At 51.7% G+C, this 17,168-nt stretch overlaps 1 protein-coding gene across 39 annotated transcripts in view, besides 5 other annotated features; it reads left to right on the forward strand.

Moving 5' to 3' along the window:
* The window catches only part of RABGEF1 (RAB guanine nucleotide exchange factor 1), a 156,898-nt gene that overhangs the window by 72,327 nt on the left and 67,403 nt on the right, over positions 1-17,168 (forward strand). For 20 of the 39 annotated variants that reach the window (NR_160287.1, NM_001367736.1, NM_001367735.1 and 17 more), the window contains exon 1: positions 13,840-13,899. The exons of 15 other annotated variants lie outside the window; for them this stretch is intronic. The gene's annotated coding sequence lies outside the window, so the exon portion shown is untranslated. Of the gene's footprint in view, positions 1-13,102; positions 13,900-17,168 lie in introns of those variants that run through there. 4 more of the 39 variants (NM_001367723.1, NM_001367740.1, NM_001367746.1 and 1 more) reach the window with 3 other exon arrangements.
* Positions 801-1,301: an enhancer, noted in NCBI's record as "H3K4me1 hESC enhancer chr7:66192681-66193181 (GRCh37/hg19 assembly coordinates)". NCBI's record gives its function as "activates a minimal SCP1, AML or CMV promoter by ChIP-STARR-seq in primed H9 embryonic stem cells {active_cell/tissue: H9 hESC(primed)}" and the evidence as "EXISTENCE:reporter gene assay evidence [ECO:0000049][PMID:30033119]".
* Positions 13,454-13,503: an enhancer, noted in NCBI's record as "active region_26086". NCBI's record gives its function as "activates an Ori minimal core promoter by ATAC-STARR-seq in GM12878 lymphoblastoid cells {active_cell/tissue: GM12878}" and the evidence as "EXISTENCE:reporter gene assay evidence [ECO:0000049][PMID:35858748]".
* Positions 13,517-14,183: an enhancer, noted in NCBI's record as "H3K27ac hESC enhancer chr7:66205397-66206063 (GRCh37/hg19 assembly coordinates)". NCBI's record gives its function as "activates a minimal SCP1, AML or CMV promoter by ChIP-STARR-seq in primed H9 embryonic stem cells {active_cell/tissue: H9 hESC(primed)}" and the evidence as "EXISTENCE:reporter gene assay evidence [ECO:0000049][PMID:30033119]".
* Positions 13,634-13,903: a silencer, noted in NCBI's record as "silent region_18214". NCBI's record gives its function as "represses an Ori minimal core promoter by ATAC-STARR-seq in GM12878 lymphoblastoid cells {active_cell/tissue: GM12878}" and the evidence as "EXISTENCE:reporter gene assay evidence [ECO:0000049][PMID:35858748]".
* Positions 13,924-14,063: a silencer, noted in NCBI's record as "silent region_18215". NCBI's record gives its function as "represses an Ori minimal core promoter by ATAC-STARR-seq in GM12878 lymphoblastoid cells {active_cell/tissue: GM12878}" and the evidence as "EXISTENCE:reporter gene assay evidence [ECO:0000049][PMID:35858748]".

The following is a 17,168-nucleotide window of genomic DNA, read 5'->3' on the forward strand; positions in this document are numbered from 1 at the left end:
CTTGGGAGACTGAGGCAGGAGAATCGCCTGAACCCAGGAAGCGGAGATTGCAGTGAGCCGAGATTGCGCCATTGCACTCCAGCCTGGGTGTCGCAGCAAGACTCCATCTCAAAAAATAATAAAATAAAATATAATATGGACTGTGGAAATGATTGCACAACTCTGTGAATATACTAAAAACCACTGAATGGTACACTTTAAATGGGTGAATTGTATGGTGTGTGAATTTTATTACAATAAAGCTATTCTTTTAATAAAAGCAATACATTCAAAATTGTGTAAGGATATGGGGTTGGCTGTAGAATCGGGATCTTTGCTGACTAATGGAAGGTGGGGTGGACCTCAAAAATCCAGTTACTCAACTACCTGATTTGCCAGTGGAGCTGGCCCTGGTTCTTGTCCGTGGGACAGGGTGAGTCAGGGGATTGAATTGGGGGTTCTCTGGACTCAGGGCCTAGGGCTTCCTCCAATACCTTCCACGGCCTCCCTGGCCACCCCATCCCATGGCATTGCCTTCCCTTTGAAAGTTTGTCCCATGGGTGACAAATTGGATTCATGACCTTTCAGCATTCTGCTCCTACCCTGCCCTGCCTGGTCAGTTGGTCTGGACCCCCAGGGATCTTCCTCCTGCCAAGCCAGTGACCTGGGTGGACCCAGCTTGGGTGGAGAGATGAGATGTTTGGTTCTCTGAGCAGGAAGGGTCAGGAAATTGAGTCTGACACCTGGCAAGGCCCACAGCCTGTGCAGTGAGTCGGGAAGGCCGGCCCATGCTCCCAGCCAGGCTTCTCCAGGCCAGCCCCTCGCAGGGGTCCTGGCGGTGGCCAGAAGTGGGCACACCTGGGGAACCGTGAGTGGCAGGCTGCCCGTGGATAATGGAAAAGTCCAGGCATCGATTATGGAGGGCCTGACAGGTCTGTGTTCATGTTAACAATAGGAGAGGCATTTGTGAGCCAGAGGTGGTGGGATTCCCAGCGGCTGCCTTGGAACACACGCGTGGCTGCCTCTGGAGCCTTTTGCCACCATGCTGCCAACAAGACCCCCAAACACCCTTGCCTCAGGCGTCTCCACCAACCTCATCCTCCCCTCTCCTGACAGCTCTCCACAGGCCAAACCACTAGACCCAATGTCCCCCTTCCACCTTTCCAGTGTAATTCTTTGCAGACCCTCTGCCTGGCCCTGCCTCCGCTCCTCATCACCCCCAGCAGCTCAGGGCTCCTTTGTGTCTGCTCAGGAAGGCCCTTACAATCCTTCCTGGCTGTGGCCAGGGCCTTGCTTTGTTTCTGAATTGGGAGGGCCTATCCCTAAGCACTGGCTTGGAAACTCCTATCCCATCTGCTGCCTGGGTTCTGCCTGGTTCTTCACTCACATTAGCTAAGCTTGGGGGGGCCACTGGGTCCCCTTCCTGTCTATTGTCTTGTGGAGAGCCAGATGCTCTTCAGGGACCCTGACTGGTTGGGGGAGGCTGCTGGGACTGAAATGAAGGTATCCCCCCTATGGCTGGGTCAGCTTCGAGGTTCATGGAGGGACCTGGGTCAAGAACTATTCTCAGGAAGTTGCCTCTGCTTGTTCCTGTTCCCACCATAACCATGACCTTCGATTTCATGACCCACAATGGCATTCCCATTTCACCATTGCCATCACCAGTGTCTTCACCATTTTTACCATTTCTTCCACCATCACCTCCATCCTTATCTCCACCTCCACCTCTATCCCCAACTTCATTTTCACCTCCATCCTCATCATCCTCGCCTCGACTTTCAGCTCTGTCCTCACCTCCACCTTCACCTCCATCCTCATCATCCTCACCTCAACTTTCAGCTCTGTCCTCACCTCCACCTTCACCTCCATCCTCACCTCGACCCTCACCGCCATCCTCACCTCCACCCTCACCTTCACCTCCATCCTCACCTCCACCTTCACCTCCATCCTCAAGACCACCTTCACCTACACCTACACGTCTATCCTCACCTCCACCTTCAACTCCACTCTCATCTCCAAACTCACCTCCACGCTCACCTGCATCTTCACCTCCATCCAAATCTCCATCTTCACCTCCACTTTTTTTTTTTTTTTTTGAGGCAGAGTCTTGCTCTGTCACCCAGGCTGGAGTGCAGTGGCGCGATCTCGACTCACTGCAACCTCTGCCTCCTGGGTTCAACCGATTCTCCTGCCTCAGCCTCCCGAGTAGCTGGGACTACAGGTGCGTGCGACCATGCCTGGCTAATTTTTTGTATTTTTAGTAGATATGGGGTTTCACTGTGTTAGCCAGGATTGTCTCGATCTCCTGACCTCAGGATCCACCCACCTCGGCCTCCCAAAGTGCTGGGATTACAGGTGTGAGCCACCGCACCCAGCCCTGACCTCCACCATTACCACCATCCTCGCCTTCATCCTCCCCTCCATCCTCCCCTCCATTCTTCGTTCCTCATCTCCATCCTCCCCTCTGTTCTCCCTTCCTCACTTCAATCTTCCCTTCCATTCTCACTCTCTTCTCACTCACTGTCCCTCTTTCACCTCCATCCTCATCTCTGTCCTCCCGTCTATTCTCCTCTCCAACCTCACTTCTGTCCTCCCCTTCCTCCTGCTCTCCATCCTCACCTCCATCCTCACCTTCAACCTCACCTTTATCCTCACCTTCAACCTCACCTTTATCCTCACCTTCATCCTTACTTCTGCCTTCACTTCCATCCTTACTTCCACCTTTACCTTCACCTTCACACCTGTCCTTACCTCCATTCTCACTTCCACTGTCTTCACTAACTCCACCATCATCACTGCCACCATCACCCATCCAGTCTCCAGGTGGGTCTCCTGCCATCACTAAATACTTCTTAATAACCAGGCATGGGTCTGGACGGAGAGGTGACCCTAGATGATGGATGGATGTGGCCAGGTTGCAGGTCCTGGCTGCCTTGTGGAGCACGTCTGCCTGTGAGCTGGGACTCTTTCCTTGCATGGCAATGACAGCAAATGGCAGAGGTCTGTGCTGACTGGCTTGGCACCTGCAGCCAATGCCTGCGGATCTGTGGGTGGCTCATCATCAGGGCCACCTGGCTCATGGAGGCCCAGGAGCCTTGTCCCCCTTACTTCAGATCTCAAAGAAATCAGGAAATTCCAGTAGGAGGGAAGAGCTGAAAGCAAAATCAGTGTTTCAGCTGTGCCATAGACTCAGGGTGGCCTCCAAAAGTCACTGCCTCCTCTTCAGGCCTCCCTTTCTCATCTCTAAGATGAAAAGAGCAGCACTTCCTCACGTCCACGGAGAGTGCAACAGGGTGCAAGGCATGTCCACAGGCTCCTGTCCCCTGAGGGAGGACTTCCCAGCAGGGCTTCCATCTCAGACCACCTGGGAGCATTTCCAGCCTCCACCTCTCAGCAGCCCTGAGACCCTGAGGAAGTCACTCACTGTTTCTGCTGAGCGCCAGCTTCCTCATCTATCGACAGGGGATAAACAATAGGCTCCACCACTTAATCTACCACATAAAGGCATCTTAAACGGTAGGTTATTATTATTATTTTTAGATAGAGTCTTGCTCTGTTGCCCAGGCTAGAGTGCAGTGTTGCAATCATAGCTCACTGCAGCGTCAACCTCCTGGGCTTAAGTTAAGGGGTAGAGTCTATGCAGATTACCTGAGCTCATTCACATATAGCACTTGGTTTCTTTTTCTTTTTTTTTTTTTTTTTTGGTGGCAGGGTCTCACTGTGTCACCCAGGCTGGAGTGCCATGGTACAGTCTCGGCTCACTGCAATGTCCGCCTCCCAGTTCAAGCAATTCTCCTGCCTCAGCCTCCCAAGTAACTGGGATTACAGGCATCCGCCACCACACCTGGCTGATTTTTGTATTTTTGGTAGAGATGGGATTTCACCATGTTGGCCAGGCTGGCCTCGAACTCCTGACCTCAAGTGATCCTCCTGCTTAGCCTCCCAAAGTGCTGGGATTACAGGTGTGAGCCACCGTGCCAGGCCCAGCACTTGGTTTCAATTCTCACTTGTGAGCAGGTAGGCAGGGGTGGTATAGCCCCACTTTTCAGAGGGAGGCACAGAACTGGCAGGGGTGGGGTGGATTCGGGGAGAATTGCCTGAGGTCATCTAGTCTGAAATGACAGCGCAGGGATTCGGGGCCAGGCTGCGGGCCTCCTGGTTCCTTTTTTAACCTCCTGCTGCTTTGGGACTGTGTACCACATTTCAAGGGGGCACACAGGGACACTGAGGCCCAGCCCCTGCCCTGGAGCCATGGCTGGGCCAGGTAAGGGGAAGGTTAGGCTCATGGCAGCAGAGTGGGGCTGGGAGGGAGAGAGTAACTCCAGGCCTGGCAACAGGACTTGGCAGAATGTCCTTGAGGAGTTCAAGGGCAAGAATGTTGGGAAGGGCTGGGCTGAGGTGGGTGTCAGGGAACCAGGAGGCCTTGGAAAACCAGAGAAGAGGAAGAAGGGGGTCACAGGAGAGGGTATCTGATCAGGCAAGTGTTGGAGACCTGAGAAGGCACCGTGTGGGGTTGAGGCTCTAAGAGCATGAACGCCTGGCTGGTAAATAAGGATCTTGGAGGCTGTGCATGATGGCTCACACCTGTAATCTCAGCAGTTTGGGAGGCCACCGCAGGTGGATCACTTAAGCACTAGGAGTTGAGACCAGCCTGGGCAACATGGTGAAACCCTGTCTCTCCAGAAAAAAAAAAAATTAGCTGGGTATGGTGGCACATGCCTGTAGTTCCTACTACTCAGGAGGCTGAAGTGAGAAGATGGCTTGAGCCCAGGAGTTCGAGACTGCAGTGAGCTATGATTGTGCCACTGCACTCCAGCCTGGGTGACAGAGAGCGAGACCTTGTCTAACATCAGGATTCTTGGCATCAGGTCTGCCAGGAGAGCCACCCTCCTGTGCCACAGTCATGCCTGCCTCACCTTCATCTAGAGCTGCCCCAGACACTTTATGTCATAGTGGAGAAACTGAGGCTCAGGTTTGGCAACTGCCCAAGGTGCACAGTGAAAGCAGAGCTGGGAGGATTCAAGGTTCATCCGACGCCCCTGAGATGTGCACAGAAGCCCCCTGTCTCCATCCACTCCCCCCAGGGCCCATGGGGGAAGGCTGGACGATGATCTGGGGAGGAGATGGAAAACAAGATGAGCAGCTGCTCAGCCAGTCAGCCGCCTGCGGGCCAGGGCTGCCAGCCACCCCCAGCCCAGCCTGCTTCTGCCAGGGCCTGGTGCCTGCTGTACCAAGGGTAGCTAGAACGCCCGGCTCACCAGGCCACCGCCCTCTCTTCCTATGGTCCAGGCACAACTCCCACACCAGTGGGCCTCGGTGCCTGGAGCACCGTCCATAAGCGAGCCCTGGGTCCATGCCAGCTGCAGCTAGCCATGGGGCTGAGCAGGCAGCTGGCGTCTGGACACGGAGCCTCATTGAGCAGGGGGTGCGAGGCCTCTGGGGCTGCCTCTGGGGCCAGGGTTGGGCTCAGGCCTGGCATCTGGGCTTGGCTCCCCTGCTGCCCACCACCCACCAAGAGGTGAGGAGAAGCAGATGAGACCTAAGGTAGGAGATGGGAGCTGGCAGTAAGTGGGTGTTTTAGGGGAGACTTTCCAGGTGAGAGGAGGCAAGTGGAGGTCCATATACCCAAGTATCTCCCACTGGGTGTCCCCAGTCACTCACCCTCTGCAAGCCTCCCCCGATCCTCTGGGTGTCTCATCTCAGCAGGTGAAACCGACAGTCTCCCCAGAGTCCAGGCAGCCCTCTATAACCACCCCCTTGACTTTCAGTTCCACTCCATCATGAAATTTGGTTCACAATTTTCCTGACAAGCTGCGCTCTTGTGCTCTCTCTCTCTCGCTCACTCTCTCTCGCTCTCTCTCTCTTGCTGTCTCTCTCGCTCTCTTGCTGTCTCTCTTTCTCACTCGCTCTCTCTTGCTGTCTCTCTCGCTTTTGCTCTCGCTCTCACTCTGTAGCCACATGACAGTGTTTAATCACAGACCTCTCCATCCCTTACTGGGATTATTGCACCAGCCTCTGCCAGAATTCCCTGACCCCAGGCTCGCCCTGCTTCTCTAAACTTCTCGGCAGTCAGGGTGAGCTTGCAAAAGTGGCAAGTCCAACCGTATGACTGTGTCCCTTTAGCCTGACGCCCTTCCCCAGCTCCCTATATAATGCAGAGAAAGTTCCAGCTCCTTAGCCGCGTAGTCAAGGTTCCTGGAGTCCTGGCCCCTAAGGCATTGGTGCTCTCTGGTTCCCTCTCCCTGTGCACCTCACCTGCCTTCCAGGTGAGGTGATTCCTGGAAAGTCTTGGCCGTTTGGCAGTGCCCCTGCAGCCCAGGCCTGAATAGCCTTCTCTCAAGATTTGGCCAAAACATCCCCATCTCCATGAAGTGTCCACACTGCCTCCCCACTTTCTCCCAGCCTGGGGGAGTTGACCACCCCCTCGAGGCTGCCCCACTTAGGCTGCTGTGCACCAATGTGACACTGGTGTGACATTGACTGTTACACTGGGGGCACCGATTTGGGTCTTAGCCTGTCTTCTCCACCAATATAAAACCTCCTAGGCCAGGCTCAGTGGTTCACACCTGTAATCCCAGCACTTTGAGAGGCTGAAGTGGGCAGATCAGGAGATCAGGAGTTCAAAACCAGACTGGCCAACATGGTGAAACCCCCATCTCTACTAAAAATACAAAAATTAGCTGGGCATTGCAGCGCATTCCTGTAATCCCAGCTACTCGGGAGGCTGAGGCAGAAGAATTGCGTGAACCCGGGAGGTGGAAGTTGCAGTGAGCCAAGATCGTGCCACTGCACTCCAGACTGGGCTACAGAGTGAGGCTCCATCTCAACAAAACAAAACAAAACAAAAAAACCCTCCTAGGCCAGGTGCGCCTATAATCCCAGCACTTTGGGAGGCTGAGACGGGCAGATCATTTGAGGTCAGGAGTTTGAGACCAGCCCAGTGAACATAGTGAAACCCCGTCTCTACCAAAAATATAAAAAAATTAGCCAGGTGTGGTGGCACACCCTTGTAATCCCAGCTCCTCAGGATGCTGAGGCAGGAGAATCACTTGAACCTGGGAGGTGGAGGTTGCAGTGAGCTGAGATTGTGCCATTGCACTCCAGCCTGGGCGACACAGCGAGACTCCGTCTCAAAAACAAAAAACAAAAAAAACCTCCTAGAGGCAGTCATCAGCCTGGTTTCCTTTTTTCTGTGGCCCCATTGTCCAACATTGGTCTAACGGGGCCCTGGGGACACATTCATTCATTTCTCCACTCCATACTTTTGAGGTATTTTTGAAGATTAGACGCATTGTCAGGCAGGACAGCCATGCCCCAAACCACAGAGTCCGGGGGCAGCTGATGGGACCTGGGAGGCAAGGAGAGGCACGGGTTATCGGTGTCTGATGGAGGCAACCCGGCTCCTGCCCCCAGGGAAGCCTGCTCTGGGGCAGCCTAGAGCATAGGATGGTGTGGGCTGGAATTTAAGCTCTACCACCTCCTAGCTGTGTATTCTGGGTAAGATGCTCACCCTCTTTGAGCCTCTGTTTCCTCGTCTATGAAGCTGGACATCATTCCCTGCCAGGGTAGTGTAAGCAATGATTTGTATTTTTGTATTTTTTTTAGTAGAGATGGGGTTTTGCTATGTTGGCCAGGCTGGTCTTGAATGCCTGACCTCAAGTGATCCGCCCATGTTGGCCTCCCAAAGTGCTGAGATTACAGGCGTGAGCCACCATGCCTGGCTAATTTTTTTTTTTTTTTTTTTTTAGTAGAGATGAGCCATGTTGGCCAGGCTGGTCTCGAACTCCTGACCTCAAGTGATCCATCCACCTTGGCCTCCTAAACTGCTGGGATTACAGGTGTGAGCCACCGTGCCTGGCCCCAAAGGAGCACTCCTGTGGGAGACCAATGGGTGCATGATATTGTTGTCATTTCTCGGTCTTCAAAAATGACGGACACTGCTGGTCGCTGTGGCTTCCTCCTGCTCGGTTGGTCACTCCTGCACATGTCTGCAGTAGTGGTGCTCCTGGGGACCCCCTCGCCACCCCACAAAACTGCTCACCACATGGCCAAACAGGTTTGTCTTTTTCCGTGTGATTTCTTCTTTTGCTAGAACATTTATAAAACTCCTTAGGAAGTTTCAGGAACGTTAAGGAAGTTAAGGAAAATTTATGAATGCTTTTCCAGAGGCTAAAAAGAATTTATTTCCTACTAGCTAGTCTAGAATTGTATTACTTATTTATGTAAGTTTTAACTTTATAATCTGTCTGGAGGTCATTTTAGTGTTAGATATAAAGTGTTAGCTAATTTCCTCCCCCCTCAAATGCCTGCCCCATTTCCCATTGTTGTGTAGTGCTTGTGTTATCATGGCTTGCATTTTTAGGTAGGATTGGTTCTTATACATAATCGCTCCTTTGTAGCCTATTCCAACCGTGTGTATCCCTGATCTCACTCCAGCATCACGCTATTAAATGACTGTTCCCTTAGACTATGTTTTATGGAAGACTTTATAGCATAGTAGTTTAGATTATGGGCTTTGAAGTCAAACTGGCAGAGATCCACATAAGACCTTTGCCTCTTAATAAATGTGTGACCTTGGGTGAGTTACCTCACAGTTCCTCATCTGTAAAATGGACTTCTGGGAGGTTGAAATGGTTTGGTTCTGTGCCCCTGCCCAAATCTCATGTCAAATTGTAATCCCTAAAGTTGGAGGTGAGGCCTGGTGAGAGGTGACAGGATCATTGTGGGGGGGGTTTCCCCTTTGGTGCTGTTCTCGTGATGGTGAGTGAGTTATTGTGAGATCTGGTGGTTTAAAATGTGTAGCACCTCCCCCTCTCTCTCTCTTCCCTTTGCTATGGCCATGTGAAGACGTGCCTGCTTTTCCTTCATCCTTCTGCCATGATTGTAAGTTTCCAGAGGCCCCTCCAGCCATGCTTCCTGTACAGCCTCCAGAAGCGTGAGCCAATTAAACCTCTTTCCTTTATAAATCACCCAGTCTCAGGCATTTCTTTATAGCAGTGCAAGAACAAACGAATACAGAGGCCTGTAGTATCTCCCTCACACATTCAGAACAAATTGAGAACTAGATATAGACATCAGATGGCTGATAATAAGGCTGATAAAACATCAGCCTTATTATTGAGTAGAGGTGGTTGCTGTCCACTGTCACAACTTGTATTTAGCATTGCACTGGAGATCCTAGCCAATGCAGTAAGACAGGAAAAGGAAATGAAAGGGATGATGATGGAAAAAAACAAGACAAAAAACAAAGCCTCAGTGGGCATCCTGACATTCACTCCTGCCTTAGATAGACTCAAGACCCCTAGTCATAGGTAATACCAGACCCCCTAGGTCTTCACCCATGCACACACTTTCTCAGATAAACCCTATCCCCAGAAAATTACTATGGAGCACAGCAGAAAATACTGAGAGAGGAGAAACAAGGATGGAAAGCAAGGACAGGAATGTTCCTTTAGCAAAAGTCCTTTCACATATGAGGTAGAGGTGGTGATGGATAGTCTCAGTGCAGTGAACAACCTATACCACTATATGGGGCCATTTAACTTGCCCTATAGACAGAAGAAGAAGGGGAGTGGTAAGAGCATTTTGGGCAAAGAATACAATGTGAGCAAGAGCACTAAGACAGTAAATTCAGGAAGTGAAAGGACACTGAAGGCTTGAGCTCTAGAGCAGTGATAATGAGGTTGAGGTGGAAAGACCTGATTTAAGAGCTATCAGGGTTAGAATGGGTAGGACTTGGCAGGTGATGAGGGTGAGGCAGGTGGATCACTTGAGGCCACGAGTTTGAGACCAGCTCACTACAACATGGTGAAACCCCATCTCTACTAAAAATACAAAAATTAGCCAGGTGTGGTGGCTTGCGCCTGTAATCCCAGCTACTCAGGAAGCTGAGGTAGGAGAATAGCTTGAACCCAGGAGGCAGAAGTTGCAGTGAGCCAAGTTTGCGCCACTGCACTCCAGCCAGGGCGACAGAGCGAGACTCCATCTCAAAAAACAAAACAAAACAAAGTTTTATTTTTATTTATCTAATTATACACACATGCACAGACACCTACGTATACAGACACACACACGTACACACACACGCACACAAATATATATATGTGCTGATGCACTGGGGCTTCCACTGCTCTTACTTGATGTGGGTGATATTATCATCATTATATATATATGAGGGGGGAGAGAGAGAGAGAGAGAGAGTGAGAGAGAGAGAGCGAGAGCGAGAGAGAGAGAGAGAGAGAGAGAGAGAATCTTGCTGTGTTGCCGAGACTGGTCTCAAGCTCCTGGCTTTAGGCAATCCTCCCACCTTGACCTCCCAAAATGCTGGTATTACAGTATTTATTTAATTTTTAGGTGTTTTTTTGTTTCTTGGGGGCTGTTTTTTTGGAGATAGGGTCTTGCTCTATTGCCCAGGGTGGAATGCAGTGGCTGTTCTTCACCAGGGCCATCATGGCTCACTACATCCTTAATCTCCTGGCTCAAGTAGTCTTCTCCCCTCAGCCTCCTGAATAGCTGGGACTACAGGCGTGTGCCACCACACCTGGCTATCCTACGCAATACGAGACTGGGTAGGGGGGGGCAGTCTAAAACAATATGGAGAGTACCTTTAGATCCGGATTTCGGGGCTCAGCCTTGCCATGGGAAGGAGGCATGGTGTGTAGCAGTGGTTACCAGACTTCTTTCAGTAGTTTAAAACAATTAAAAAAAAGATGAAAGACTGATATAGTGCTGTTCTCCTTTAATTTTGCCAAGGAAAGTCTTTTTTAAAAAACCTCTGTTGTTCCTGTCACTTAACACTAAAACGTGGAAAAACACATTCTCAACAACAGCAAAATAGCAGCCAGGCATGGTGGCACTTGCCTGTAGTCACAGCTACTTGTGAGCCTGAGGTGGGAGGATTGGTTGAGCCTAGGAGTTGGAGTCTGCAGTGAGCCATGATCCTACCACCGTGCCCCAGCCTGCTACTGCTAAACAGGTTAGCGGTGTCAGGAGGGTCTTCCCTCTTGCTGCTCGGTGCCTAGAACATTCTTGCCCAGATATTTGCATAGCAGCACAGCTGGCTCCCTCATCTTTTATTCAGGTCACCTCATGAGGCCGCTCCGGTCTATTTTAAAGCTGCAAGCTTCTTGGTTGTGTTTTTTGTTTTTTTTGTTTTTTTTTTTTTTTGAGACAGGGTCTTGCTCTGTCAACCAGGCTGGAGTGTAGTGGCATGATCACTGCTCACTGCAGCCTCAACCTGCCAGGCTCATGTGATCCTATCACCTCGGCCTCCAGAGTAGCTGGGATTACAGGTACAGGCCACCACCTGGCTAATTTTTGTATTTTTAGTAGAGGTGGCGTTTCACCATGTTGGCCAGGCTGGTCTCAAACTCCTGACCTCAGGTGATCAGCCTGCCTTGGCCTCCCAAAGTGCTGGGATTACAGGCGTGAGCCACCATGCCCGGCCAGTCCTCTCTAGCTTAACCTTCACAAAGAAACTTTGAAATGATATTCAGTTTTTGTTACTGCTTTCCTCAGGCCTTTTCTGTCTTTAGCACCAACCTCTTCTGCTCAGCCCATTGAACACTCATTCTGGGCCCAGGGGTCTAGGCTCATGCCTGTAATCCCAGCACTTTTGGAGGCCGGGGTGGGCAGATTGCTTGAGTCCAGGAGTTCGAGACCAGCCAGGGCGACATGGCAAAACCTTGTCTCTACAAAAAAACCCCAAAAACTAGCTGGGTGTGCTGGCACACACCTATCATCCCAGCTACTAGGGAGGTGGAGGCAGAAGGATCACTTGAGCCAGGGAGTTGGAGGCTGGAGTGCGCCGAGATTGCACCACTGTGCTCCAGCCTGGGCAACAGAGTGAGACTCTAACTCAAAAAAAAAAAAAAAAAAGAAACACTCATTCTGTTTCACAGAATGGTTTATAGAATGGTGTGTTGCCTGATTCTGTAATCACAAAAGTCAGTTAAGAGCTTTAAAGTAAATGTTATTCTGTCTTTTGGTAATAGCAATTACCACCATCCAAGGTACTACTGTAAATAATTATTGTTTATTCCCTCCTCCACCTCCTCAGCACAGGTACTTTGTGTTTTTTTGTTTTGTTTTGTTTTTTGAGGAGGAGTTTCACTCGTTGCCCAAGCTGGAGTGCAATGGCGCAATCTCAGCTCACTGCAACCTCCGCTTCCCGGGCTCAAGTGATTCTCCTGCCTCAGCCTCCCAAGTTGCTGGGATTGCAGGCATGTGCCACCATGCCTGGCTAATTTTGTATTTTTAGTAGAGACAGGGTTTCTCCATGTTGGTCAGGCTGGTCTTGAACTCCCGACCTCAGGTGATCTGCCCGCCTCGGCTTCCCAAAGTGCTAGGATTACAGGCGTGAGCCACTGCGCCTGGCCTTACTTTTGTTTTATACTCTGTTGTACCCTCAGCGTAGCACACATTAGGCACTTAGGAAGAATCTGAGAAACGAATCAGTTAATCCCTACTTTACCAATAATGAATAAAGACTGAGAAACTCGGGCCGGGCGCAGTAGCTCACACCTATAATCCTAGCACTTTGGGAAGCCAAGGTGGGCGGATCACTTGAGGTCAGGATTCAAAACCAGCCTGGCCAACATGGTGAAACCCTGTCTCGACTAAAAATACAAAAAAAAAAATATGAGCTGGGCGTGGTGGCGGGTGCCTGTAATTCCAGCTACTTGGGTGGCTGAGGTGGGAGAATCGCTTGAACCTAGGAGGCGGAGGTTGCAGTAAGCCGAGATCGCACGACTGAACTCCAGTGTGGGCGACAGAGTGAGAGTCTCAAAAAAAAAAAAAAAAAAAAAAAAAATAGACTGAAAAATTACGCAACCTGTCCAAGAACACTACAGCGACAATTAGCAAAGCTGGGATTTTAACCCAGGTCTATCTCACAGCCACAGCATAGTATTTTCTTTTTTTTCTTGCTGTGACTGCACGTTACGCCATACATGGCATTCAGGACGCAGAGGAATTAGTATTTACTGTTTTTAACATTCCTTACATGGGAATCACGTAAAGAATCAGGTAAACAGGATTCAATTTGTGACTCAACCATTAATACTTTGTGACACTGGCTAATTTATTTCACTTCTGGATGTCGGTTATGTTTTTTTTGAGACAGGATCTCGCTCTGCTGTCACCCGGCCTGGAGTTCAGTGGAGGGATCTCTGCACCGTCAACTTCCTGGGCTATCAAGCGATCCTCCCACCTCAGCCTCCCTGGTAGTTGGGACCACAGGTGCCCGCCATCATGTCCGGCTGATTTGTAAAATTTCTTTTGTAGAGATGGTGACCTTGCTCTGTGGCCCAGGCTGGTCTCGAACTCCTGGACTCAAGCGATCCTCCTGCCTGGGCCTCCTAAAGATTCAGCTGCTTTTGGATCAACCGATCGCCTTAAGACCTTTTAACTCGAACACCTGTCACATCCTAGGATCCGCGAAGGACTGAAACAGAGTTTCTGAAGCGTCCCTCGGCGCAGTAGCTCCGCTCCACCTCCCATTCGCGCTACCACCGCGGCCGCAGCCCCAGGAGTCGCCGCGGAGCCAGCGTCGCCCTCCAGCTGTTGCGCGTCGGAAGCCGGAAGCAGGGACTGAGCGACAGACTAGGAAACGCCGGTTTCTCCGGGGCTCCCCAGCGCCCCACCTTTACCCCGGAGGCCGCCCTCTTCCATTTGCTCTTGGGCGTCAGGGCGGTACCCCACTCCGCTCGACCCTTTGGATCCACTCGCACTTCCTCCCGTCCAGAGTCAAAGGCCCCGGAAGTGACGTTTACGCGCCGCGCGTAACGTGCGTTCGCTGGCGGTGCCGGGGGCGGGGCGAGCAGGAGGGTGGGTGTGAGGCGGGAGCTGGCCGCGGAGCCCAGACCTACCCGGGCGAAGCGGGCGAGCGGTGGTTTGGACGCCGGCGGAGACGCGGGCGAGGTACGGAGCGGACGGACTGGGGCTGAGAGCTGCTCGGCTCTCAGCTACAGGAGCGGGGCGGCGGGGCGTCTCGGGCTGGGGGTGGCAGGGCGGTCGGTCCGTGCCATCCGCGCGGCTGGGGCAGTTGCGCGTCGGTGCCTCCCGCTGTCCTTCGTCCCACATTCCGTCTCCGTCAGCGCCGCCTTCCCCGTTCCAGGCCGCCCTCGGCTCCCTTAATCCTCAGAGTGCGGCCTCTCCGTCCCAGACGCTAGTTGCCGGGATCTCCAGCGCCAGCCGAGCCCCGACGGCCTGACGCGGAGCATTTCCTGGCCGCCTCCCTCTCCGGCGGCTCCCCTCGCCCCGGCTCCCACCTTCCGTCCAGGCCGCTGGCTCCGAAGCAGCGTCTGTGGTCGCACGGGGCCCCTCCCACAACCTCCCCGGAAAGCGCTGGTATGGGACGCTCGGACCCAGACCACAGCCCCCGGCCGCGGCAGGGGCGCGGGGACTTGATCCCACGTCACCCTAGGGGGCAGAAGTGTCCCGGAGTTGGGAGGGGATTTGAAGCCTGTGGTCCTGACTTCCACCCCGTGGCTGAGGGCGAGGCTGCGGGGCCGGGGTTAGGAGCAGAAGTCCCTGCTTCCGAACCGTCTGGGAGGAGAGCCGAGGGATGCCCATCACGGCAGTTTAGGGAGAGAGAGGGAGGGACTCTGCCGCTTTGGAGGCTAGGTCATAGGCAGCTGGCGGTGTCTCAGCGCGGGTGACCAATCCTTGCGGTTGGGAAATGTGTCGTGGGCGCCCGTGGGCTCGTTTTGCCTTTGAGATTAGGTAGGAAATTTTCCCAGGACGAGTTTACCGGAGCACCTTGGGAGTTGGTTTTTGGCCTGGAGAGCTGCTTTCCCCCCTCTAAACCTAGAACTGCTTTGTTTTTATTTATTATTTTTTTCGACATGGGATCTCACAGTGTTGCCCAGGCAGGTGTGAAACTCCTGGCCTTAAGTGATCCTCCCGCCTCGGCCTCCCAGAGTGTTGGGATTATAGGCGTGAGCCATTGCGCGGCTTTAACTGCTGTTAAAGAGTGTGTTCCGGCCGGGTGCGGTGGCTCACGTCTGTAATCCCAGCATTTGGAAGGCCAAGGCAGGCGGATCATGACGTCAGGAGCTTGAGACCATCCTCCCTAACACGGTGAAACCCCGTCTCTACTACAAATAAAAAAAAAAAAGAAAAAGAAAATTTGCCGGGCATCGTGGCGGGCACCTGTAGTCCCAGCTACTCTGGAGGCTGAGGCAGGAGAATGGCATGAACCCGGGAGGCGGAGGTTGCAGTGAGCCGAAATCGTGCCACTGCACTCCAGCCTGGGCGACAGAGCTAGACTCTATCTCAAAAAAAAAACTAAGAGTCTGTTCCTTAAAATTGTTGTACCAAGAAACTTGCCAGAGATGCAAGAAAATGTGATTATATTGTTAATATTTAATGATAAATAACATTTTGCTTTTAAGAGTCACTGATTCATATCCGCAGGATTAAGAAATGTTCAGGATTTGAATTTTTAATGACCTTCCAAGCAGTCATGTTTCTGCTCTCTAGAAGTTAGCCAGTTGAGGAGAAGGGACAGTCAAGATACTTTCAAAACAGTGTGGTAAGGAATGTGAGCTAAGATGGAGCACCGAGGAAGGAGCCGGGCATTTAGGCCATGCTGTTGGGTGTGGAGCCTGGAAGGGATCAGGGAATACTTTCTGCATGTGTCTTGAAGAATGACTAACATTCAGACTAACAGGGTGGAGTGAGGGAGAGGGGGGAATCAAAGGAGAGGAGGCCAGTAACTACAAGGAGGTGCCTATTAATTTATTTATTGAGAGAGAGGGTCTCACTTTGTCACCCAGGCTGGAGTACAGTGACACGATCACGAGTCACTGAAGTCTCAACTGCCTGTGCTGAAGTGATCCTCCCACCTCAGCCTCCCGAGTAGCTAAGACTGCAGATGCGTGCCACCACACCCAGCTGATTTTTAAATATTTTGTAAAGATGTTGTCTTGCTGTGTTGCCCTGGCTGATCTCAAACTCCTGCACTCAAGCAATCTTCCTGCCTCAAGCGTCCCAAGTGCTGAAATTACAGGCATCAGCTACCGAGCCTGGAGGGTCGTTACTAAAGTGAAAAAGTGCAGGACAGAGATGTAGGAGCTCAGGCTTCCTCTGATGGTGACAGAACCAGGGGAAGTTTTTTAGCTGGGTCCTTGTGTGGTTAAAATGGGTCTCTCTGGCCAGGCGCGGTGGCTCACGCCTGTAATCCCAGCACTTTGGGAGGCCGAGGCGGGCGGATCACGAGGTCAGGAGTTTGAGACCAGCCTGAGCAACATGGTGAAACCCCATCTCTACTAAAAACACTAAAATTAGCTTGGTGTGATGGCGCCTGCCGTAATGCTAGCTACTCAGGAGGCTGAGGTAGGAGAATTGCTTGAACCTAGCAATTCTAGGAGGTTGTGGTGAGCCAAGATTGTACCAATGCACTCCAGCCTGGGCGACAGAGCGAGACCTCGTCTCAAAAAAAAGAAAAAAATTTAAAAAAAAAAAAAAGGCTCTCTCTCTCTCCCTGTCTCCCAGGCTGGAATGCAGTGGCAGGAACACAGCTCACTGTAGCCTCCACCACCCATGCTTAAGCTATCCTCTTGTCTCAGCCTCCCAAGTAACTGGGACCACAGGCCTGCCACCTACTAATTTAGCTTGCCTGGCTAAATTTTTTTTTCTTTTTTTGATACGGAATCTGGCTCTGTCGCCCAGGCTGGAGTGCAGTGGCGCGATCTCGGCTCACTGCAAGCTCCCCCTCCTGGGTTCACGCCATTCTCCTGCCTCAGCCTCCTGAATAGCTGGGACTACAGATGCCCGCCACCATGCCTGGCTAATTTTTTCTATTTTTAGTAGAGATGTGGTTTCACTGTGTCAGCCAGGATGGTCTCAATCTCCTGACCTCGTGATCCGCCCTCCTCGGCATTCCAAAGTGCTGGGATTACAGGTGTGAGCCACCACACTTGGGCTAAATTTTTTTGTAGAGATGGAATCCTTGTATGTTTCCCAGGGTGCTCTCCAACCCCTGGCCTCAAGTGATTCTCTAGCCTCGGCCTCCCAAAGTGTTGGGATTACAAACATGAGCCACTGCACCCGGCCCTAAAATGGAATTTTATGTAACTCTTACACACAGGCTGCTATGTAGCTGATAAGGATAAATGTTTTCAGTGTAGTGCTTGATTATTTGCTTTTTTCTTTTCTTTTCTTTTCTTTTTTTTTTTTTTAAGACG

Source organism: Homo sapiens, chromosome 7, assembly GCF_000001405.40.
Source record: "Homo sapiens chromosome 7, GRCh38.p14 Primary Assembly".
NCBI classification, from domain to species: domain Eukaryota; kingdom Metazoa; phylum Chordata; class Mammalia; order Primates; family Hominidae; genus Homo; species Homo sapiens.